Raw genomic sequence first — 25,234 nt, 5'->3', positions numbered from 1 at the left:
TTAGGATCAGTGTGGCCACTGCAACAGGTGGCAAAAAGGCTGGCTCAGAGCGGAGGCACAGCAGCTGACTGCAGGGTCCCATGAGCAGCAGGTGTGTGACCCCTTTTTTCTAAGACGAGACGCTTATGGGAGTTTTTAGAAGTTGCTTTATGACCAGGCGCAGTGGTTCACACCTGTAATCCCAGCACTTTGGGAGGCCGAGGCGGGTGGATCAGTTGAGGTCAGGAGTTCGATACCAGCCTGGCCAACATAGTGAAACTCCGTCTCTACTAAAAATACAAAAATTGTCTGGGAGTGGTGGTATGCCTCCCATACCTGAGGCATGGGAGCCTGTCATCCCAGCTACTCAGGAGGCTGAGGCACGAGAATCACTTGAACCTGGGAAGCAGAGGTTGCGGGGAGCTGAGATCGCACCACTGCACTCCAGCCTAGGTGACAAAGTGAGACTCTTGTCTCAAAAAAAAAAAAAAAGAAGTTGCTTTACGTTGCTGTTACCTTGGCAGTGGAGACTGTGTCCCTCAAAGTGGTTCTCTGCTGGCACTAGATACACAAATGTGTCAGCACTTGGGCTTGGCAGGCATTGCTGAGTCAGGCAGTGAGTGATAAGGGAGATGAAGGGGACATAGGGGGAGTGCCTCCAAGAGCAGCAAGGAGGGGCAGTGTGGCCCTTCTAAGCCACATTACTACAGTATTCTCTGGAGCTTCTTAGAGCCAAGTGGCTTCTTCCATGAGGTTCCTGCAGGCCTGAGAGTTGCCTGGATTGACCATGATGCCTGAGTGTATAATTATAGGTCACTGAACAGAACCCCTAGTCAGCTACATCCCTCAAAAATGCCTAATTGTAGGCTACAAATATGAAAATATACAAGAGCTTAGAAACATGTCATACCTCATTACAAAGAGCAATGGCATGAGTCAGCTGTGACTTGGGTGGCTTTAGTGTGCTTGGTGAGCATGCTGACTAGTCCAGAAGAGGGCAGGAGGCACATTCCCCAAGCTTCCTACAGGGAGATTGAGGACTTTGGGAAAAGGGAGAAAGTATAAGCTGTGACCATAGCCTGCTAGTCACATCTACTAAAGGGGTCTGCTCACCTGATGGTAGATTTGATTCCTCTTTGGGAATTGTTTCCTGACCAGTTTACAAACCACATTAGAAAATAGCACATTTGGCCAGGCACGGTTGCTCATACCTGTAATGCCAGTGTTTTGGGAGGCAGGAGGATCACTTAAGGCCAGGAGTTTGAGACCAGCCTGGGCAAAATAGCAAAACCCGTATCTCTACAAAAAATTTAAAAACTTAGCTGGCTATGGTTACATGCACCTGTAGTCCCAGCCACTCTGGAGGCTGAGGCAAGAGGATCACTTGAGCCCAAGTTTTAGGCTGCAGTGAGCTATTACTATATCACTGTACTCCAGCCTGGGAGACAGAGCAAGACCTAATCTCTAAATAATAAATAAATAAATAAATTAAAGATCCTTGAGGGAAGTGAGGTCATATGTAATACCTTATATTACCTAACTGGGCCATACAGATTTTATTGCTGGGTTGAGGGAGCCCACTCTGTCTCAGGGTGGGGAGGGGTACTTGGATAAGTGCCCAGCCTGGTTGCTCTCGTCCGGTCTGGCAGTGCTTTCTCACCGAGAGGCCTCTCCCAGCTCAGAAAGAAGGAACAGCTCGATCTAGATCTCTTTCTTTTGTCCCTCCCTGTTCTCCCAACTCCCCTTGGTATAGATGAGTCTATACACACCCTTGCTGCCAGTGGCTTGCCATTCCTTTTCTGAGTCACTGCCCTTCATTACCAGATCTCTAGTGGTGATAGTAGAAGGGAGGGTTAATCTGTGGCCCTTGGGGTACTCTTTCCTCTCAGTTTTAAACTTTTTAGTCAACTCTAAGAATCTAGGAATCTCAGTATTGAAAGCGACCTTAGGTGCCACCCATGCCCATCTCAAAGGCGAGGGGGTAGACTAATCTTATCTACCTTTACTGTGGTATTCCCAGCATGTAACTGAGTGGAGTGTGGTAGGAGGTGCAAAAAATACTTGCGGAATGAGTGAGTCCCTGTAAATAGCAGCAGCTTCACAAGACCACTGTCATTGCCTCATTTGTTCATTTTTTTGACGAATATTAGTAAGCTCCAATTATGTGCCAGTTCCTTTTAAGTTCTGGAATACTGTGATGAACAACACAGTCCTTGTCCTCTGGAACGTATTCTGTAATTGAGAAATAAGGAATTAAAAAGAATTGATAGTCTCCAAATGGAATTTAAGAATTAAAACTTCTTCTTCATTTTGGCCTCTCAGGGTCTCTCATTTTCTGAGGTCTCCTTGGGGGACCCTAGAAAACACATCTAATCCCTTTTTCACACGAGAGCCTTTCCGAATTCCCAAGCCAATGATCACCCTCCCCGCTCCACAGCCTTCTCTTCTCCAGGGTAAACATTCTCAGTTCCTTCCGTCATTTCTCCTGTGACATGCTTCTGAGTGCCCTCTCCATCCTGGTCACTGTCCTTAGGACTCAGTCCAAACTGATAGTCTGTCCCTCTGCCAGTTGGGAGTCCACAACAGAATACCACCTCCCACGCATTAATTTCCAGGGAGTGTTCCAGCCTGGAGCCTCTCCTTACTCTGGGCTCAGGCGATAGGTGAGGGAAAGAGAAGGTCCTGGACTTGGCCAGACTGAGATCATCTTCATATTTGGCCAATCCTGGAATTCGAAATTCTTTTCTTTTGTCTCCTCCCTGCCTCCCCACCATCCTTCCCTTGGTATAGACGAATCTACACACAGCCTTGCTGCCAGAGGCTTGCCTTTCCTTTTCTGAGTCACTGCCCTTCATTACCAGGGAAATTAGCATGAAAAAGCGAATTCCAGTTCTATAACTGTATTCTATTCTTGTCCTCTGTCACATTCTCCAACCCAGCACCCCCACCTAAAATGACAAAAGTTGAGTCCTGTGACATCACAACAGTTGACTATTGTATCAACAGCTGTGATGTCACCAACAGAGGATTATGACTTCAAGGAAGAATGGAGGTGGGGCGCATAGCTGGCAAGAAACCCCGTGGGAACAAAGAAGGTATTTTCGTGCAGATCTTCACCCAGAAAGCCTGAGTTGGCCTTTCAGTGGATGGTCTGTCAGTGGAAGCCCTCTCCTTGGTTCCCATTGCTCCCTGTCTCTTTGGATTAATGATTTGGCTTGTGGACATTGCCCAAGTCTGAGCGTGTGTGGAAGACCCCTGCTGGCCGGCAGGCTTCTGGGCTGTCTTTGGGTTTTATTCATGAGGTTGGAGCTGAATAGAGCTTTTCAGGGAGGGAGTTCAGAGGGGTGCCTGGGAGCCTAGGGTGAGGCTGATGTGGATGTGCAGGCGCCTGGGCTGAGGGATAACTGGTGTGCAGGCACTTCTGTTCAGGCAGAGGGGTTATTCTACCAGCCACTCTGGGAAGCCTGAGTGTGCTGCCACAGGCCTGAATGTTGACTCCTGCCCACTTCTGGGGCTGGGTTGGGCCTGCCCTGGGAACTCCTCTTGGCTCCATGAACAGAGACTTAAAAACACCTGCTGCAGAGACTCCCAAACTTTCTTAGTTCATGGGCCTTAGTGTTTCAGTAATTTTTTTTTTTACAGTGTCCATAGCCCAAAATAAATACCTAAGTTTTCTTTTATAAGTAGGTTTTTTGTTTGTTTTTATATGAAGTCTCACTCTGTCACCCAGGCTGGAGTGCAGTTGTGTCACTGTATCCTCCGCCTCCCAGGTTCAAGTGATCCTCCTGCCTCAGCCTCCCTAGTAGCTGGGACTACAGGCAGGCACCACCACTTCTGGCTAATTTTTTGTATTTTTAGTAAAATTAGGGTTTCACCATGTTGGCCAGGCTGGTCTCGAACTCCTGACCTCAGGTAATCTACCCGCCTTGGCCTCCCAAAGTACTAGGATTACAGGGGTGAGCCACTGTGCCTGGCCTTAAGTAGGTTTAAACAATTGAGTATTTATATCCTAACAACTGAGTAGCCATCTGAAAAAAAAATGATACAAGAAATTGAAAGGAAAAATATTTATATTCCATTCTTAACCACACTTACTAATGGGATGTACTAGGTACTGCATAGCATATCAGACCTTGGAACCAGATTGATTAGTGCCATGCTTATTTCCTGTTCCACATTGCTTTTCACATGGTATTTGCTTTTTATCACAGCAACTGCTGAAAACCCAGCCTCAGAAAGAAATGACATCATCGAAAAGAATGTAATGCAGTCTGTTGTTGAAGCTGTGAACTCATGGGGTGTTCAACAAATGTTGAGTGTTGCTCTGTTTCCCTCAAAGATTTAAAATATTTAGCAGTATCCCTGTGAGTTCATCATGGGGCTTTGGGGCACCTCAGCACACAGTCTGAGAAGCACAGACCTGAAACTGCCAAGTAGCACTTGCTCTGTTTAAAGGAGGAAGAAGAGGCAAGTTCGGTCATCATCATGGCCCTTAAAGGAGTTGGGCAGGTGGATGGACAGACTCTTTCTCTGCAGTCTCAGCTCCAGCAGACTGCATTGTTAGGGGGAAGGTCTTTGTTTGACCAGGGTCTGTGTGTGTGAGCCCCTTTCCCTAGATGGGGAAGAATGATGATAGGCATCTCTTACGCTTATTTGTTGTTGACTCAGAGCCTTCTGAACTAGATGGCTTAAAGAAAAATGGGATTTTGACAACCAGAATTTAGGGGCCAGGCGTTGGACCTTCTGCTAATATCCTTTTCTAATTCTTTTTTTTTTTTTTTTTTTTTTTGAGACAGTCTCACTCTGTCACCCAGGCTGGAGTGCAATGGCGCGATCTCAGCTCACTGCAACCTCTGCCTCCCGGGTTCAAGCGATTCTCCTGCCTCAGCCTCCAGAGTAGCTGGGATTACAGGCACCCACCACAACGCCCAGCTAATTTTTGTATTTTTAGTAGAGACAGGACTTCACCATGTTGGTCAGGCTGGTCTTGAACTCCTGACCTCCCAAAGTGCTGGAATTACAGGCGTGAGCCACCATGCCCAGCCCCTTTTCTAATTCTTTATCCAGATAGAGTGGGGCTGCAGGGGTGTACTTGGGATGGAGGGTGGCTTCCTGCCACAAGATATGACAGAGACCAAAGGACTAATGTGCTCTGGTATCACTTCTAGAGCCTCATGCCAACCTCTCCAGACTCTGGGGTCTGCTGCTTATGAAACGCTAGGCAAATTACTTAACCTTTCAGCCTCAGCTTCTTCATCCATAAAATGGAGATAATGGCATCTATTTCACATAGTTGTAACTAAGATTACACAAGCTAAATATAAATACATGCATAGAACCAGCAGAGCCTGGCTATATAGGTGTGCTTTCTTCTCCTACTTCCAAATTTGAGGAAAAAAGGGTTTTCCTCCAAAGGGAAATTGAGCCCTAATGATCTAAGATCTGTAGTTCCAGTGTTACCCTCTACCCTCTACTGCTTCTTTTTTCTTTTCTTTTCTTTTGTTTTTTTTTTGAGATTGATTCTCGCTCTATTGCCCAGGCTGGAGTGCAGTGGCGCGATCTTGGCTCACTGCAACCTCCGCCTCCCGGGTTCAAGTGATTCTCATGCCCCAGCCTCCTGAGTAGGATTACAGGCACCTGCCTTCATGCCTAGCTAATTTTTGTATTTTTAGTAGAGACGGGGTTTCACCATGTTGGCCAGGCTGGTCTCAAACTCCTGACCTCAAGTGATCCACCCACCTCGGCCTCCCAAAGTGCTGGGATTCCAGGCTTGAGCCACCACACCTGGCCTCTCTACTGCTTCTTAATAACTTTGCTCTGTGGATCCAGTGTTCCCAAATCTGCTGAGCTCTGTATCCTGCTTGCTATATTAAACTTTTTAATGAAGTATATCATACAACATGAATGTATATATGTATCCAAGTCAACAAATTTTTACAACTGAACCCATGTAACCAACACTCAGATCAAGAAACAGTCTATTATCAATATCCCAGAATCTCCCTCTAGTCTTCCTATGGGTAACCACTCTCCTGACTTCTAATAGCATTGATTTATTTTTGGGTTTTATTGTTTTCTATAAATAGGCTCATCTAGTATGTATTCTTGGTTTCTGGCTCTTTTATTCAGAATAATGGAGAGATTTATCCATGTTGTGTGTAGCTGCAGATGTTCATTCTCATTGCTGTATAGTAATCATTATGTAAAATACCAAAATTTGCCTTCTCTTCTTCTGATTATGAGCATTTGAATTTTTAGTTTATAGCCATTATGAATAGTGTTGTTATGCACATTCTCATACTTGTCTTTTAGTATGCATGTGTATGCATTTCTGATGGGTATAAAACTAAGAAAGGAATTGCTGGGTCATGGGTTATACCTATATTTAGCTTTAGTATATAATACCCAACGTTATTCCAAAGTGGTAGTATTGATTTACACTTCCTCTGTCAGTGTTTGAGAATTCCAGTTGCTTCACATCCTTGCCAACAGTAGGTATTTTCTTTTTCATTTTATCCATTCCAGTGGGTATGTTAATGGGTATCACATCTCAGTTATAATTTGCATTTTGTTGATGACTAATAAAGTTGGATACCTTTTCATATATCTCTTCACTGTTTGGGTATCCTCTCTGGTGAAGTATCTGTTCTACTTGTGCCATTCTTCTTTTGAGTTGTTTTTTATTTATTTGTAGAAGTTCCTCATATATTCTGGATATGAGTTCTTGGTTGGATGGTCTACTGAGTACATTGTCTTATACTCTGTTGGTTTGCTTTTCACTGTCTGTATGGCATTTGTTAAATGAACAAAGTTCTTATTTAATGTAGTCTAATTTGTCAGTGTTTTTCATTATGGTTATCACTTTTTGTTTGAGATGCAGTTTCGCTCTTGTTGCCCAGGCTGGAGTGTAATGGCGCGATCTTGGCTCACCGCAACCTCTGCCTCCCGGGTTCAAGCGATTCTCCTGCCTCAGCCTCCCGAGTAGTTAGGATTACAGGCATGCGCCACCACGCCTGGCTAATTTTGTATTTTTAGTAGAGATGAGATTTCTCCATGTTGGTCAGGCTGGTCTCAAACTCCCGACCTCAGGTGATCCACCTGCCTCGGCCTCCCAAAGTGCTGGGATTACAGGCATGAGCCACTGGGCCTGGTCTTATAAGCTTTTCAGAGAGCAATTTTAGTTGAGTTCTTGGGCTGAAGCTACTCCTGCCCAGAATCGTTTGGGTTTTCACAGGGGGAGGCCCCCTTTTGAATTTTCTGAGTGGTTGTGGTTGCTGTAAGTGGGTCAGACCCTTCACTGGGAAGGCCAGAGGTAACTAGAGATGGGCCTGGACTGTGGAGCCCAACTGCTGTTCACCCTATCTAGGGAGGGCAGTTCTACTTACAGGGTACAGCAGGTGTGAAGGCCCTGGGGTAGGAACACACCTGGTGTGTTTGAGCACATGGTATCGGACAGTGTGGCTGGAGTGGAGACAGTGAAGGAGAAAGAGTAGTTGAAATGGGGCCAGAGTTATAAAAGGGACCCAGACAATGGAGGGCCTTATAAGTCATTGTAAAGATTTTGGTTTTTACTTTGAGTAATGGGAGCTATGGTTTTGAGAGTTTTGAATAGATGGGGTGACAGGAGCCATGATGCTGGTGGGGAGTACATGTGATGAGTGTAGCTCATTGAGGATCTGTTCTTAGTGGAATCGGAAGCAGAGGCAGCTAAAAGAGTGAGGATGAGGGAGGAGGTGTTGAAGTTGAGAGCTGGAGGGAAAGCTAAACCCCAGCCCGGAGACTTCCAGTAGCACTGGGCTCTGAGTACCCACTGTTCTTTGTAGATGGCTTCTCATTGTTCTTTGTGTTCTCATTATAGAGGTGGAGTAGTCTCCGTAAGCTATCTGTGGTAAAACGGAGGTATTAGGATTTTGCCCAGTCCCTTTAGCCTTTATTATTTCCTAGTCTTACTCGGAGAAGGTGCAGCTTGTGGATGATAAGTTTCTTCTAGAGCAGAGGAGGCAGCTTGCCATCAGTCAGGTTGAGCTCAGCTAGACCAGAGAGCGTGGGAAGGGTGAGAAGGAGGTCAGGACTTAGAGTCAGGAAGAAGTTGACACTTGAACTGGATATTTAAGAAAGAATGGGGGGCAAGGGACACTGAAAATCAAAGGAATTGGTTGAACAAAAGCTTGGCGGCATGAACATTCCTGGCATGTGCAGGAAATGTCATCCAGTGAGATGTGGCTGGCCAGAGTGAAGGTGCTGCTCTAAGATAGGACTATGGCCTCTGGATCATCGAAATTGCAGGACCCACCATGTTCTCCTTGCCAGAGCGAAAGAGGGCAGTGGTTGGTCCCCAGGAGCAGGGTTTTTTATGGATCAGGCTTCCAATCTGCCTCCTTTTTCCAAGTGGTGACAAGATATTGGGCAGAGTAGGTGCCATAGTCTTGACAGAGCTAGGATAAGCCACTTGCTGAGAGGCTGAGTTTCCAGAATGGCAGAAACAGCCATGTCTAGGTTTTTAAAACTATGTGAGAAACAACTAGATTTCCTTTGGCCTGAAATTGCCTAACAAGACCTCACTCCAATTCAGGCTTTCAGGAAGTGTGTAAACCCAGCTTTAAACCTCTGCAGGATCTGCACTGAAGTGGAGAAGGACCATCTGGCAGGAAAAGGGATTGAAAAATGGTTGAGGTTGAAAAAGCAGACTTAAAGGGCTTTCTTTGAGGAGGAGGGTTGGGAAGGAGGATGTGGGAATGATAAGTGGACAGTGAAGAGATGGAAAAAGTTCTTACTTTTTTTTCTGATTATTATGCAACAACAAAAAAATTGTCTTTCCTGTGGCTGATTGAGGGAGATTTCAGCCTCACGGGGGCCTGTAAAAACACCCACCTATCCTCTGACCTCCCAGCAAAACAAATGTTGGTTCCTCTCCACTTGACCAGGCTCACTATCCCCATTACATTTTTCCTTGAAGGGCTTTCTGGACCTGGGGCTGGAATGGAGAAGATCTAAGATTTACAATGTGTATAGAAGTAGTGAAGGAGAAAAGGGTTTACTGTTTTGTAGGGAATGGGACAGTCTTGAGAAAATCCTTCCTGGTATTTCTTTTCTCTTCTCTTCTCTTTTTTTCTTCTCACAGGGTCTGACTCTGTCACCCAGGCTGGAGTGCAGTGTCATGATTATAGCTCACTGCAGCCTTGGACTTCTGGGCTCAAGTGATCCTCCCACCTCAGGCTCCCAAGTAGCTGGGGCTACAGGTGTGCATCACCAACCTCCTGCTAATTTTTTATTTTTAGTAAAGACAGGGTCTCGCTCTGTTGCCTAGGCTGGTCTCAAACTCCTGGGCTCAAACAATCCTCCTGCCTCTGCCTCCCAAAGTGCTGGGATTACAGGCGAAAGCTCACATTTTTGAGAATCTTGGTTTGGGTACTTACAAGGAACTTAATCTAAGGTTACTGAAGCTTGCAGCGGCTCTGGGTTGTGTGGGCAGGTCAGGGGAAGGGAGGTATGGCAGGGAGAGAATGGAGGCAGCACTGAGAAGATAGAAGGAAAGGGGCTCAGGTTCTTAGTATGTTTCTAGGAGCCCTTTTATCCCTTAGAGAACCAGGCAAGTCGTCGATCTGTCGGGAGGTTAGGCAGAGAGGGGCTGTGCCTTTTGCTTATAGCATTGGTGAGCTTAGCTCTTTCTAGGAAGCAGGGGAGCTTTTCCACAGGAATTTAGCAGGAGGCCTTGCTGCTTCAGGAAGAACAGGGGCTGATGGGAGGATCCAGAAGACACAAGTGCTGAGGGTGAGGTTGAAGTCCCATGCGGAGAAGGATCATCCTGATTTAGTTGCATTTGTTAAGCTCCTTAGAATCTGAGGGCCAGTATTGGTTGCTGAGACTCTTGGCAGCCCTCCTCTGGGGAGCTGCCAGTCTGTTCCTCATGTCCTTGGCCAGGGCCCATGGATGAGGAGAGGTGCAGGAAGGAGTTGGCAAGAAGGTAAAGAGGGTCTGAGGAGATGTTTGCTGGGCAGGATGAGTAGGCAGGTTGGTCCCAGGGCAATCAGGCCACAGCTGCACACTGTTGGGTCACTATACTGTCACTGTATTGCTGGCCCTTTCCTGGCTCTCACCATGTTCTCAGAACACACACAAGAGCTCTGTTCCCATTCCCACCTTCTCTGTCCCTTTAGGCTGCTGCCTAAACTTTGACTTCCACGTGAGCAGAATTGCTTAGGAGAGTAGTGGAACATAGATGTAGCAGAAATTCTCTCATGTGGTTGAGAGGTTTCCTATTTTCGGGCATCTTGACTTCTTACCTCGGCTATAAAGCAGAGTGCTGGGCAATGTTTACGTTTCCTCTCAGTGGTGACATTAACCTCAGCAGAATGGGAGGCTTTCCTCCAAATGCTTGCATTTCTTCCTCTTCACTCAGGGCTCAGCTGTCTCCTGCTTCAAGAGCAAGGCATACTGTCACATCCACATTTATGCCTGCAGAAAAGTATCAGACAGACATTTAGAAATGTCACCTAAACAAGGACAGACAGGTTTTTTGCTCTAGGATAGGAAGGTCCATTCTTAGAGGTGGGGCACCCCTCAGAAAGAGCTCCCTTCAGAGACTGACCTCTCATCGGTCCCTTCTTGGACCTTTGAGAGAGCCTCTGTGGATCAGGTGATGGGATCGGGTCAGAGGGAGAAAGGGCACTCAGGATGGTAGAGAGTTGTCTGGTGAAGGCTGGACTGAGCAAAAGCTGTCAGCCTTCCGGGAGGTCTGTCCTCCTGTGGCAGTGAGGGGAATTGATGGGGGTTTCAAGCAGCCAGGAGGCTGTGCCCTGCACTGCTCCTGCCCAGCCGTCCAGGAGGTTTTGTGTGGCTGTTGCCAATGCCGTGCCTCCTAACCCTTCCTGCTGGGATGCAGGCTAGAGAGCTGCGACACTTACCTGCTGGTTGGGAGGTCAGGTTAGAGCCGAGTGGACCAGGTGGAGGCCATGGATGAGGAGGCACAGCGCTGCGGTGGAGGGAGCCGCGGCATCTAACTGGGCCACTTGTGCTCAGCTCTGGCCCACTGTTGTCATATAGGAGTGCACACAGTGATGGTAAATTTTCTCATTTTTCAAAAGAAGCTAGAATCTGAATTTTTCTTTCTATTCACCTGCTTTCTTAAGCTTGACAACTAATTCAAATTATTTAAAAATAAAAGGAAGGCCAAGTGAGACATGTTTTTGCTTCTGCAGACCACCAGTGTATGACTGATATAAACTCTTTTTCCCAGGAGCTTAGAAATGAGGAGAAAGCAAGCAAAGGGATCAGGGTGGGTGGCAGGAAGAGTAATTTCAAAATACAGGAAGACGGAGCACACCTGGAGACTGACGAAATGGCTTAGATGAGCCATTGGTAATGCTTTCACTGGATCCCGTGGTGTGTGCGTTCCTTTGTGGTTGAGGGCCAGTGGTTCTCTGTGTGGTGGAAGAAGCTAATGGGATGGGGGTAGGAGGAAGAGGGGCTGAGTGCCATCTTTTAGTTGCACATAGCTAGGCAGATTCTTGGGAAGATGGTGAGTCGTGACTCCATTAAGTCCCTAGAGAACATGCTGTGGGACACAAGTTTTTGCACTTAAGGGCATATAAGCTTGATTTAAAGCGCTTACTAAAATGCAGATTCCTAGGCCCCATCCCCACAGATTCCCGTTCAGTAGGTGGGGCCTGGGACTCTGCATTTTAAAGCACCCCATCAATGTTAAAGAAAATAAGTGGACAATGGAGTGAGACAGAGCTGGGTCTACATTCCTGCTCTGTTCCTTCACTAGGTGAGTGATCTTGGTCCAGTCATTTAATTTCTCTGAATTTAAATTTCCTAATCAGAAAAAAGGAGACTGTATTATCACTACCTTGTAGAATGGTGAGAACTAAATTAGAAGACAGTTGGAGGCAGTACAGGGTCCTGGCCCAGAGCTGGTGCAGGCCACCTGGTCATAAATCCCTGCCCCTTTCTAGCCGTGTGACTTGGAGCAAGCTAATTAACTGCTCTCTATCTTGGTTTCCTTGGTAAAGTGTAACTAACCCTGTGAAATATTAATAGTACCCACCTCACAGGGTTGTTAAAGGGTTAAATGACTTAATACACATGAAGTGCTTGTAACTTTAGCTGTTATAATTACATGTTTAAAAGTCTAGCAGCGTGTCTCATAATAAATGCTCCTTTGCTTTTCCTTAGGTCCCCTTACTGTGGGTAACAGATTAAAGCTTAATCCAAATGTCACCTTCTGATGAGGCCTTCCTGGAGTCCACTTTTTACTTTCTTGTCTCCCTTCACAGTTAGCTTCTCCAGGGCAGGGACTGTGTCTTCCATGTTAATATCCTAGCACCTTGCACAGTGCCTCACATAGGGTCAGTGAATGGAATGATAGTACTAGGGAGTCTGAAAGATGACTCAGACTTGGGAATGGAGAGGTTGTCTTCCAAATACCTAGGGAAGTGTGATCTGGAAGAACAAACATTTTTTAAGCTTCTATTGCCAGACAGGGCAATCATGGGAGGTAGGTCATATTGCTATTATGGCTGTTATAGTGACAAAGTGAGTCTTTGACACTCACTGGAGCAAGGTCACATAACTAGCAGTTGTCAGAGGCAGGGCTGGACTCAAGGCAGGTGTTTTTCCACTGCCCCTCGGGGCCTGCGACTGTGCCTGTTTGTCTGGATGCAGTTTGTAGAAAAGTTCCAGAGGTACCTTATTCTATTCCTTTCTCTGGATTGTTACTCTTCAGATAGTTGTCTATAATTTGTCAGAGCTGTGTTTTTGAGGAACTTTGGATGGATGGTATATGCTAATTGAACAATTTCCTTTTCTAAACATGCAGTTTCTGCCTAGACTTTGCCATTGAGGGCCTGGGAACTAGCAAAGAAGCCTCTCATCATGCTTGAGTCTCTGCTCCATTCCCATGGGCATTTCCTCTGCTTTAGGAGTGTCTTCTCTCCCTGCAGTCTGACTAGCCAGGATATCAGGCTAAAAGCATAGATGAGGGCCTGGGGCTGCTTGTAGGAGGTGGGGAGAAATGGTGTAGCCCAGGAAGCCAGAATGCTGAGAGTCCTCAAGCCTGAGCTTCAGGTGTAAAGGGTTAACCTGGCCTTCAGCTCCTCAAGTCCCAAATTATTCTCTGATCCTGATAGACCTGGCCCAGAGAGAGCAGTTGGTGGGGAGGCTGGTGAGTAGGCATCTGTGTTTCTAACCTAGTGCGCCCCTGTGAGGTTCTCAGCAGTGCCAGCTCAAGATGCCTGAATTCCCAGGCCACTTCTGAGAATGGCAGCTGCACTCTTGGAGAAATGTGACTAAGGGTCCCTGTCATGGGCCTGGAAGCAATTTTGTTCTGCTTCTTTCTTGGTTACATCTTCACAGGATTTTTCTTCTTAGCCACCCAGATGTCAGAGTCAACTACATTTCTCTTTCTTAGTAAGTTGGCTCTGTGTTCTCATATACAACTGCATGATAGCATTTCAGAGCAGTGAGTCTACCCTCCTGAAAGCAGAAATTCAGGGAAAGAAAGAATATGTTTTTCATCATGTTTTTTTAACATGTTTCAGTTTCTGGTCATGCCACAAATCTTTTGCCTTTTCTCCAAGGGCCTGCCCTGGAACTGATAGAGCAGGTCAAATGTTGTTTTCATGGATGGTGATGGTTACTGTGATCATTGCTACAGTTGAAAACTGATGCTTAGCAAGTTGATTCCTATAGCACTGTGCTTCCTGAGGACCCTGAAAACTGGCCTGAGAAAATGTCCAGAGGTTGCCTTTTCTCTCCCTTCTCTGTTGTACATATAGCAATATGATATGCCAAGCACTTTACTTGGCACTGGGCTGATACAGGTAGAGAGTATCTCACTAGAGCCAGTGTGCGTAGATGCCCTGGGGGCAAGATTGACTTTATCATCATCATCATCATCACCATCACTAATGTTATGCTATTAATATAGACTTAAATTTATAGGGCCAAGCATGGTGGCTCATGCCTGTAATCCCAGCACTTTGGGAGGCTGAGGCGGGAGGATCACTTGAGACCAGCAGTTCGAGACCAGCCTGGGCAACATAAAGAAACCCCATCTCTACCAAAAAGAAAAAAGTTAGCTGGACCAACTCCATTTTATGAAGGGTAAAAGTGAGGCTTAGAGTTGGTTTCCTTTTTCCAGAAGCATCTGCCGTATTCACCTTGGAGGGATGTTTCATTGCTGTCACCATCAGCTAATCATCCCCTGCCTACTGGCTGCTTCCTCTCTTTCCAGTTAACATACCACTCCCTATCACCATCACTAAAACCACAACCCTGAGAGCTTATGCGAAGTTAAAATTAGAGCTAGTACATTTCATCTTGAGATTAGGAAGGAAGTATAAATGCTATCAAGAATTAGGACTTGACTTATTTTTATCATCAAAACCAATCACTTATTTGCACCAAAGTAATAAGTAAGATGGTCTCCAGGATTAAGGTCATCAGTGGCCATAAATAAATATGTTTAACTTTCACATCCAGATATACTTCATTTTGGCCAATGTGATGGAGGATACCAATCAGAGGGAGAGAACTACTGTTTGTAAACTGTTCAGCTTCCGTGATGGTGGTGTTCGCCTAGGCTGTGGTGCACCTTGACATTGGAAATATGCTTGATGTGTCGTTTGTGTTGTCACTCACACCCACTCTCCAAGGCACTTAAAAAGATTTATTTAGCTCTTAAGTTTTAACGTCTATATTGAGATGTAATTAACATGCTGTAAAATTCATTGATATAATGTAATGATTTCTAATATATTCACAAGAGTTGTACAACCATTACCACTATCTAATTCTAGAACATTTTTGTCACCCCAAAAAGAAACCCCGTACTCCTATCAGCCATGTCCCATTCTGCCACCCTCAACCAGTGCTAGGCAGCTCCTAGTTTACTTTCTGTCTCTGTAGGTTTGCCTGTTCTGGACATTTCACAAAAGTGGAATCAAGGTTTATTCATGTTGTAGAATGTATCAGTACTTTACTCCTTTTTATGTCTGAATAATATTCCATTGTGTTGATATATACCACATTTTGTTTATCATCAGTTGATGGACATTTGGGTTAGTTCCACTTTTTGGCTACTATGAGTAATTCTGTTATGAACATTTATGTACAAGTGATTGTGTGGACATATATTTTCATTTCTTCTGAACAGATACCTAGGAGTGGGTCATCCTGGTTTATATGGTAACTCTGAGTATAACTTTTTGAGGAACTACCAAATTGTTTTCCAGAGTGGCTGTGCCATTTTACATTTCTACCAGCAGGGAATGAAAGTTCCAATTTCTCTACAGTCTCACTAGCATTTGTTTTTATCTGTCTTTTTTTGTTATAGAAATCCTAGTGGATGTGAAGTAATATCTCATGTGGTTTTGATTTGTATTTCCCTAATGACTAATGATATTGAGCATTGTTTCGTATGCTTATTGGCCAAGTTTATACCTTTGGAGAATTTCTGTTCCAAATCCTTTGTCTAATTTTTAATTGGGTTACTTTTTTATTATTGAGTTGAAAGAATTCTTTATATATTCTGGATACAATTTTCTTAGGAGATACATGATTTGCAAAAAATTTCTCCCATTATTTAGGCTGTCTTTTCACTTTCTTGATGGTATTGCTTACAGCACAAAAGTTCTTTTCTTTGACATAGTACAATTCATGTCCTTTGTGTGTGTGTGTGTGTGTGTGTGTGTGTGTGTGCGCGCTTTTGGTGTTATATCTAAGAAACCATTGCCTAATCCAATGTCATAAAGATTTACTTCTGTTTTCTTCCAGCGTTGCTTTTGTAATTGTAGCTCTTACATTTAGGGCTATACTACATTTTTTACTTTATTTTTAAATATGGTATGAGGTGGGGCCCTACTTTATTCTTTTGTATATGGATATCCAGTTTTCTCAGCACAGTTTGTTGAAAAGACTCTTCTTTCCCCATGAATTGTCTTGGCATCCTTATTGAAAATCTGTTGACCATAAATGTAAGGGATTATTTCTGGACTCTGGATTCTGTTGTGTTGATCTCTGTTTCTGTTCTTATGTCAGTACTGCACTGTCTTGGTTACTTTTTAGTATTTTTTTTTAATTGGCAACTCAGAGTCTTCTAACTTTGTTCATCTTTTTCAAGATTGTTTTGGCTGTCCTGTATCCCTTGCATTTCCATAAAATTTTAGGATCAGCTTGTCAATTTCTGAAAAGAAGCTAGCTGGCATTTTGATGGGTATTCTGTTGAGTCTGTAAATCAATTTAGGGAGAATTGCCATCTTAACAATATTAAATTTTCTGATCCATGAATATGGTATGTCTTTTCATTTTTTATGTCTAATTTCTTTCAATGATGTTTTATAATTTACAGTATACATGTCTTGCATTCCTTTTATTTATTTCTAAGTGATTTATTATTTTTGCTGCTATTGTTAATAGAATTATTTTCTTAATTTCATTTTCAGATTGTTCGTTGTTAGTATATAGAAATAAAATTGATTTTTTTTTCTTTTTGGAGGCAGAGTCTTGCTCTGTTACCCAGGCTGGAGTGCAGTGGTGCAATCTTGGCTTGCTGCAACCTCTGCCTCCCAGGTTCAAGTTACTTTCATGCCTCAGCCTCCTGAGTAACTGGGATTACAGGCATGCACCACCACACTTGGCTAATTTTTGTATCTTTAGTAGAGATGGGGTTTTGCCATGTTGGCCAGGCTGGTCTTGAACTCCTGGGCTCAAGGGATCTGCCTGCCTTGGCTTCCCAAAGTGCTGGAATTACAAGTGTGAGCCACCACACCTGGCCCAAAATTGATCTTTAATATTGATTTTGTATCCTGCACATTTACTTGAAGTCACTCAGCAGTTTAATAGGTTTTTTAGTGGAATCCTTAGGATTTTCTACATACAAAATCATGCCATTTGCAAATGGAAATAATTTTACTTCCTTCTTTCCAACCCAAATGTACCCTTAAATTTTAATCTTCATATTCCTTTTATTACTTGGCATAAAATAGTGTTCCTGAAAGGGTAGTGCATTTACCATGGTGATATATTAGCTAAGAATATATGGTACATGAACAGACATTTTTTACTTTTAAATATTTAAATACCTTAATGTATATTACTTTTATTTTAATGGGTATTAGAAAAAATGATGAGCACTTCTAGCTCTCAATTTCATGATGTGTACTCAAATGTTACTTTATCGTAATGGTTTTCCCTGAACATCTTATTTAAAATAAGATACCCTCTTCACCACTCTCTTTCCCTCTACCTTGCTTAAGTTTTTTTCTCTCTTTTTTTTTTGAGACAGAATCTTGCCCTGTCACCCAGGCTGGAGTGCAGTGGTGCAATCTTGGCTCACTGCAACCTCCTCCTCCCAGGTTCAAGCAATTCTCCTGCCTCAGCCTCCCAAGTAGCTGAGATTACAGCTGCCTGCCACCACACCTGGCTGATTTTTGTATTTTTAGTAGAGAAGGGGTTTCACCATGTTGCCCAGGCTGGTCTGAACTCCTGACCTCAAGTGAACTGCCTGCCTTGGCCTCCCAAAGTGCTGGGATTACAGGCGTGAGCCACCACGCCCGGCTCAACCTTGCTTAATTTTTTTTTATTCCACTTACCATCACCTTACATATTATACACGAAGGTACACTTATTATCACACACGTGATAATTCATGTGTGCTCATTGTCTGTTTTTCCCCACTGGGATGTAAGCTGCATGAGGTCAGAGACTTTGTATTACTCTTCACTGGATCACATTTGCCGTGGACATGGGTGCTCAGTAAATATTTGTTGAATGAATAGTTTATTGTTTAGAATGAGGTGACTTTTTTCTTTTTAAGAAAAGGAAGTCAGTTTCAAGTATATTCAAGAAAAATATTGAATAAATAGTATGTCAGGAGATATGCAAATATGGCAAAAACCATGGACTGTATAGAATGATAGAAGTTTAAGGAAACTCTAACTTAAGGAATGAGGAGAGATGGATGGAGATGGAGTTTCTTGGGCTTCTTTGTTTATTTTGTTTTCTGTGAAATTGTGTCCGGAATTGGTGGGTTCTTGGTCTCACTGACTTCAAGAATGAAGCCGTGGACCCTCGCAGTGAGTGTTACAGTTCTTAAAGGCCGCATGTCTGTAGTTTGTTCCTTCTGATGTTCGGATGTGTTCGGAGTTTTTTCCTTCTGGTAGGTTCGTGGTCTCGCTGGCTCAGGAGTGAAGCTGCAGACCTTCGCAGTGAGTGTTACAGCTCATAAAGGCAGTGTGGACCCAAAGAGTGAGCAGTAGCAAGATTTATTGCAGGGCGAAAGGACAAAGCTTCCACAGTGTGGAAGGGGACCCGAGTGGGTTGCCACTGCTGGCTTGGGCAGCCTGCTTTTATTCCCTTATCTGGCCCCACCCACATCATGCTGATTGGTCCATTTTACGGAGAGTCGATTGGTCTGTTTTACAGAGAGCTGATTGGTCCTTTTTGACAGGGTGCTGATTGGTGCATTTACAAACCCTGAGCTAGACAGAAAAGTTCTCCACCTCCCCACTAGATTAGCTAGATACAGCCTGTGGACTGATGTATTTACAAACCCTGAGCTAGACACAGAGTGCTGATTGGTGCGTTTACAAACCTTGAGCTAGATGCAGAGTGCTGATTGGTGTATTTACAATCCCTTAGCTAGACATAAAGATTCTCCAAGTCCCCAGCAGATTAGCTAGATACAGAGTGCCGATTGGTGCATCCACAAACCCTGAGCTAGACATAGGGTGCTGATTGGTGTGTTCACAAACCTTGAGCTAGACACAGAGTGCTGATTGGTGCACTCACAATCAAATTAGCTCACACTCCTCCGTATTCCAGGCCAGGGGTTTCTTGGGGTCTCTTAAGCTGTAACACATGGAGTTAAACATTAAGTGGGAAAGCAGTTTCTACTACCTGCCACAGACACCCTCTTGGCACTTTTGGAGGTCATCTGGAAGATGTTCAAGGTGCTTTTGGCTGCCTATAGAAACTTGGCTTACCGGCATTGTCGTCTTTGCAGGGCTCTGGGTTTGCAGAGAGCCGAAATGACCATGACTGCCAACAAGAATTCCAGCATCACCCACGGAGCTGGTGGCACTAAAGCCCCTCGGGGGACTCTGAGCAGGTGGGTAAGGGAGCACTTGTGGGAGGTGGCATCAAGGGACCTAGGTCCTGGGTGGGATCCCTCCAAAATGTAAATAGTCATCATCTTGACTGACAGTCATCCAGGTGACTGGTCTAGGCCAGCTCATGCTGACCATTAGGCAGAAGATATTTTCTAGTTCTGTAAGTTTCTATGTGATATAGCAAACAGTAACCCTAAAACAAGCCTTGCTTTGTGTCTAGCATTCTAAGGATGGGGCCAGCAAGAAGCAGCTGATGTTCTTCTGGCTTGTAACCTTTTCCCATGGTGGGGAGAGCTTGGGGCCTGTGCCTGAGCTAAGCTGCACTGTAGTGAGGGAGGCTGACCACATTGGGCTAAGGGTAGAGAGGCAGTTACGCATATTAGCACAAACTCCAAGCAGCAGCCTAGGCTTTATAGGAGTTTAGAGAAACCGTGGATTTTGGAATCATGGATTTGGTTCAAATCCAGGTTCTAACCACTTACCAAATAGCGAGCTCTCAGAACGTTTCCCTGTGCCCTATAAAATCTTCATTATTTCATCTATAAAATAATAATAGTAGTTATCTTACAGAGTTTCTCTGAGGACTAAATGAGATAATATATGTCAGTGCTTAGCATTATGGCTGACATAAAGCTACTCAATAAATTTTAACCCCCTTTTGAGGATGAGATCAAAGCTTCCAGAACTCACAGATGCACAGATAGATGCACAGTACTCTCACCAGGGCTTCTCTGGTCTTGGCCAAGGCTGGACACTGATATCTTAAAAGAACCTTTAGTCTTTTTTATTAAAGCTGTGTACCTCTCATAGCCCTTTCTGCTGAATGTCAGGTGGACAAATTTGGCTTTTGGGGCCTCTGCCTCTAAGATGGATAGCTATGAGAAGGATGCTTAGCTTTGGTTTGGATAGGGCTAGTTCATTCCTGGATATCTGGCTGTGCAGTGCTAGGCTGAGTCCAATAGGGTCTGGTCAGAGTTGGTGGTAAACATTTGGTTCATTCAGAACTGGAGTCCAGATATAGTTGGTAGAATAGTGCACGGGATGTAGCCCCTGGGGAGTGACTGTCATGAAGGAGGCAGGGGTTCCCCACACCATACATACAGGACTTTGTCCCAATAGAAACAGTCTGGATGGACTATGCCAAACAGGGTTTGATGGACTCTGACTTGTTAAGTACGTAAGATCCTGGGACTTAGCCAAGCAAACTGACTATCCACTTGCAGCAGCAAGACTGATAGGAACACCCCTTGCCCAGGCAATCCCTCTCATTTAGACTGGGCTTGGTGGCATACCAGCTTCCCTGTACTGAGTGAGGCTGGGAGTGGCAAGGAACAGCTTCTTGGGCAAAGCAGGTGGAGAAACTGACCTCCTCCAGAACATGTTGGTGTCCAAGGTAGAAACAAGTCAAGGTCTCAGAGTCTTTATCTCCCATTGCCTGCTCCTGGGAACCATGTTGTTGGGCTCTTGTCAGCCTAGTGGCATTCTTACCATGATTGAGCTGGCAGATGGGGCTGAAAACTAAGGTTCCAGTTTTTTAGAATATCACACTACTGTAGGAGTGAAACAAATATATGTGATTGTGTCATTTTATTTGTAATTTTAAAGAAATTGTATATTTAGGACCTGAAATGGAGATTACCATTCCCAGCAACCCTCAACTCCTTTAAATATTCTTTTTTTTTCCTTCTAATTTCCACCATACAGGAATGGGGTAGAGGGGTGGGAGGGGCAGTATTTACATCAAGTTTCAAAGCAGACTCGAGACTGCTGACAGGTGCTGCAGTTTCTATTTGGAGTAAATGCCTACTTACTTCTAAGTGTTTTCAGAAATTGCTCTTCCTTTAGCTTCTCAGCATGCTTGCCATCATAACATGCTAGATGGTGTTTGTAAATATCTGAGCCTCAGATGTGCCTAAAAAAAGCACCTTTCCTGCCTCCCTTCTAAGTCTTCTCTTCCTTCCTACCACATTTCCGCTTCTCTCCTTCCTTCCCTCCCCCCTTTCTTTCCTGGGAGCCTGGCTTTTGGTGTGAAGTTGCAGGCCTCTGTGGCTAGTGACACCCTTCTCTCAGAGACTACCCCTGGGGTGTAGGTATTATTTAGACATTGTGATCTGGTGGTTTCTTTGGCTGCCTTCACCCCTGGCCACATCTGGGTGTGTTCTTTGGGCTAAGGCAGTAAATCACCAGTTCATTTAGGAAGGCATTGTCGGTGAACTCAGAGGGTTCTCCTGGGTGCCAGGCTCTGTGCTGGGCACTGGAGGGCAAAGAGGGATGATCCATTCTCTTTCTCCAAGGTATTTACAACTTGGATTGATGATCTTGGCACCTGAGTTTCTTAGTTTGACCTTTCAATAGGTGTTTGGTAGTGACCTGGGGCCCTTTTATCATTGCCAGCACATGAATCCAAGGAGGAGACTCCTCGGTGTGACCAGAGCTTTAGTTGGGGAGGGGAGGGTGTTGGGGCCTTGGAAAGCTGGGCCTTTGACACTTTGGCTACGTCGGGGACTTCCACATCATCCACATGAAGGCAGAGGAACCCAGTGGTTCTAAGACGCATTTGTATCCAGCTTTGGTGGAAGAGGGAGGTCTGGTCAAGGAAAACTGGCGGGGGTGGGCAGATGGGACCCTGTGTAACTGTCAAGGTGTGTATTTGAAGGACTGTACCCTTAATTTGTGTAAGACTTCACCTGGTGCTACCACCAAGCCTGTCTGGGTTAAAGACCCTGGATTCCAGTCCCTAGGTTTTCACAGGTGTGTTGCTAATTTATTCCCTTCCTTTTCCTTTGCAGCTTAGTCTTGATTTGGCAGGAATGTGTAGGAGGGGAAAATCTAAGCCTTTCATGTGACTGCCTCAGTTTTGTTCTTTGCTGTATCTTGGTCTCCTGGAGCAGGTTTCCTTGTCTTCGCTTTTGTTGATGAGGCCGAATGAGCATACTGTTCATCCTTACCTGCCAGATACACTCTCCCCACAGGCTGTTCCCATTTCAGCTCACAAGATATGGCTGCATCCCACTCTGGGGGTCTGGGGTGGGATTCTCAAACCTCTTCTGAATTCTAGAGGTCAGCCTTTACTGTGTTGGTGTTGATGACCTGGGGTGGGACTGGAAGCAGGTTGGTAACTTGCAAAAAAGGAAGTATTATGTTTAGAGCTAATTCAGCTGTGTAGATAGGGTGAACTTTGCCACTTACTGCTCTCAGGAGATTTCACTTTTGCAGTAAGACCTGGCAGGCAGCAGGGGCTCTTCTCTGAAGACCTGCTGATTTCCTCCACAGCTTCTTCACTATGAAACTCCAGCACCTGGGTCATTGCAACTTGGAAATAACAGACTGTATCAGCCTTGAGTTTGAGAACTTTTGCTTGTGGTGGGTGCTGAAAATCTGAGTGTGTGAGAATATATAATTCTTGAGGGCAAGGACTTTGATGTCTTTCTGTGTGCCTAGAGCCTGGAACAATGCCTGGCACGTAGAAGCCATTAGCTATTTGTTGATTAGTCAACTAGATAGATGGGAGAGCAGCCTCTTAGAGCATAGGCTGTTGTACTACTTGAGTCCTTATAGTACCTTCCTAATGGGTCATCTTAGCTTTGGACTCTGTTTTCATCTAGTCTGTAGTTTCTTAGAAAGGTAGAGCTGAAAGGGGGCTTTGTAGCTCATTCAGTCCAACCCATTTGATTTACAGATTGGGAAACTGAGGCACAGAAAAGAGGAGGTACTCCTTAAGGATACAAAACTAGTAGGAAGAGGTACTCAAGCCTGCCTCTCTTCATCCTTCTGTTATTTTATTATCCCAACACATTCCCTTCCTATGAGCACTCCTGGGATCTTCCTGCCCCCAAAGTACTGCTATCCATGATAAAGTCAAACTTAGCCTGGTTTGCAGGGCTTTTCATGATCTGGCCCTGGTCTTTCTTTCTGCCCTAATAGTTCACTGTTCTCTAATGCAAACCTTACATTTCTGCCAATCTGGATACAATTATTCACTTCTCTCCCAGTGTTTTTCTTGACCACCCAACTAAGACAAATCCCTCCCTCCTCTGCATTCACTCAGAATCTTTGGTTCAAAACGGCCAAATGGCACTTATCATATAGTATCTCATAAAGTGGATATTTGTGTGGGTCTTATTTCCCCTACTCAGCTGGAACTCTTTGGAGGCCCGATACATTCTCTGTTGGGATGTTAGAGTTGGAAGGGATCTTGAGATATATCTGGCTCAGTAACTTACATTACAAATGAGGAACCTGTAAGCCCACACAGCTAATTGGCAGTGGAGCCCTAATTTCAACTCATATTTGCAGGTTTTTATGCAGAGGGTGGCCTCAGTTTGTGATACAGTGAAATCCAGAGATGTCTTGAGGTTCCATGGCCAATGTAGGCACAGATTTGGACCCTGTGCCTTAGATCGGGGGAAGCTAAGAGCCTAAAGAGAAGAAAAATCTCCTGAGTAGCTGTGGGTAAAAGATAGTGCTGCAGGGCCTGTCCTGGCCGTGGCAGGCCCCCCTTAGGAGGCCCTGTGGCCTCAGCCCCTGTTACTCGAGATGCTTCCTAGAATCCAACCATGATGCTGTCAGTACTGGTCTGGTTATTTATTGCTACATAACAAATGACCCCAAACTTAGTGGCTTAGAATAATATTTATTTTGCCCACCAATTGCAATTTGGGTAGGGCTCAGCAAGGAAAGCTTGTGTCTGTTCCTTGCAGCATCAGCTGGGGGTAGCTTGAAAGTTATGGGTGACTCAATGGCTAGGGGCTGAAATCATCTGAAGGCTTACATGTATGACAGTTGATGCTGGCGGTCAGTTGGGACTAAAGCTAGGGAACACCTGCACGTCACCTCCACACTTGGCAGCATGCCTTCATAGCATGATATCTGGGTTCCAAGAGTAAGAATCCCAAGAGAACAAGGCAAAAATGCGTGGCATTTTAATGAGCTAGCCTCAAAAGTCAGATAGTTTGTCTTCTATTGTGCTGTATTGATTAAGACAGTAACAAAGGGCTGCCCAAGTTCAAGAGAAAGGAAGATAATTTCCACCACCTGCTGAGAGGAATCTCAACATCTCTTTATAAGAAGGTATGTGGAATGGGATAGGTTGTGGTTCCTGTCTTTGGAAAATACAGTCTGCCCTCTGATTGCAACAATTCACATCTTTCCCAGATGCAAAATACACTCACTCTCTCCCCTAAAATCTCAGGTCTTCTCTTATTCATGGCATCAGCTTGAAGTCTATTACAATGGAATCTTGTCACCAAAATCAGGTACAGATAGGGCCGGGTGCGGTGGCTCATGCCTCTAATGCCAGCACTTGGGGAGGCTGAGGCAGGCAGATCGCTTGAGCCCAGGAGTTTGAGACCAGCCTGGGCAACATGGAAAAAACCCATCTCTACAAAAAGTACAAAAATTAGCTGGATGTGGTGGTGCACACCTGTAGTCCCAGCTACTCTGGAGATTGGGGTGGGAGGATCACTTGAGCCTGGGAATTCAAGACCAGCCTGGGCAACAACATAGTGAAACCCCCTCTCTACCAAAAATAAAAAAGTTGGCTGGGTGTGGTGGTGCATGCCTGTAGCCCCAGCTCCTCTAGAAGCTAAGGCAGGAGGATTCTTGAGCCTGGGAGATGGAGGTAGCAGTGAGCCAAGATTGTACTGCACTTCAGCTTGGGCATAGACTGAAACCCTGTCTTAAAAAAAAAAAAAAATCAGGTCTGGATGTAGATGAGACTTTTGGGGCGCAGGTTCATTCCTTGTGTGCAGCTCCTTAAGTACTGTTTCTCTTGCTGTGAAGACCTGTAACTTAAAGAGAATGTATATCTGCTACCCAAAAGACACTGGTGGGACAGGCTTAGGGTAACCACTGAATAGGCTTCTTTTCAAAAAGGGGAAAATAAGAGGTACCCAGCAGTCACTGGTTTGATGTATTTCTTATATTCAGTGGGACAGCTGTTGCTAATTCTTTGACTAGGTGTTGACTCATTTACCTTGTCTCTAGCTGCACCCTCTGGGCTTTTGGTTCTGCTCTCTGACTCATCTTTTCTTTTCCATAGAAGTAGCTCATTATTGCAGGTGAGTAGTTTCTCCATCTGCTTCATGCCCATAATATGTTAAGGGCCCAAAGTCTTTTCTTCATTTTGTACTATCTCTGCTCTT

General features: G+C 44.8%; 1 protein-coding gene and 1 long non-coding RNA gene across 25 annotated transcripts in view, besides 1 other annotated feature; one reads left to right on the top strand and one right to left on the bottom strand.

Moving 5' to 3' along the window:
• The window catches only part of DENND2B-AS1 (DENND2B antisense RNA 1), a 41,499-nt gene extending 40,566 nt beyond the window's left edge, over window positions 1–933 (bottom strand). Inside the window, exon 1 of the long non-coding RNA NR_120590.1 lies at window positions 890–933. This is a non-coding gene — a long non-coding RNA (DENND2B antisense RNA 1). The remainder of the gene's footprint in view (window positions 1–889) is intronic.
• Window positions 1–25,234, top strand: part of DENND2B (DENN domain containing 2B) — a 217,600-nt gene that overhangs the window by 141,241 nt on the left and 51,125 nt on the right. For 20 of the 24 annotated variants that reach the window (NR_164822.1, NR_164816.1, NR_164815.1 and 17 more), the window contains one exon: window positions 18,986–19,090. The exons of the other annotated variants lie outside the window; for them this stretch is intronic. Coding sequence is in view for 11 of the 20 variants with exons in the window: in NM_005418.4 (NP_005409.3) it covers window positions 19,011–19,090 (80 nt within the window). In the remaining 9 variants the exon portion in view is untranslated. The remainder of the gene's footprint in view (window positions 1–18,985; window positions 19,091–25,234) is intronic. 24 annotated transcript variants of the gene reach the window in all.
• Window positions 10,365–10,865: an enhancer, noted in NCBI's record as "H3K4me1 hESC enhancer chr11:8780393-8780893 (GRCh37/hg19 assembly coordinates)". NCBI's record gives its function as "activates a minimal SCP1, AML or CMV promoter by ChIP-STARR-seq in naive H9 embryonic stem cells {active_cell/tissue: H9 hESC(naive)}" and the evidence as "EXISTENCE:reporter gene assay evidence [ECO:0000049][PMID:30033119]".

The sequence above is a fragment of the Homo sapiens genome, chromosome 11 (assembly GCF_000001405.40).
Source record: "Homo sapiens chromosome 11, GRCh38.p14 Primary Assembly".
NCBI lineage: Eukaryota > Metazoa > Chordata > Mammalia > Primates > Hominidae > Homo > Homo sapiens.
The sequence above is the reverse complement of the archived record's forward strand: the minus strand, read 5'-3'. Positions and strand labels throughout refer to the sequence as shown.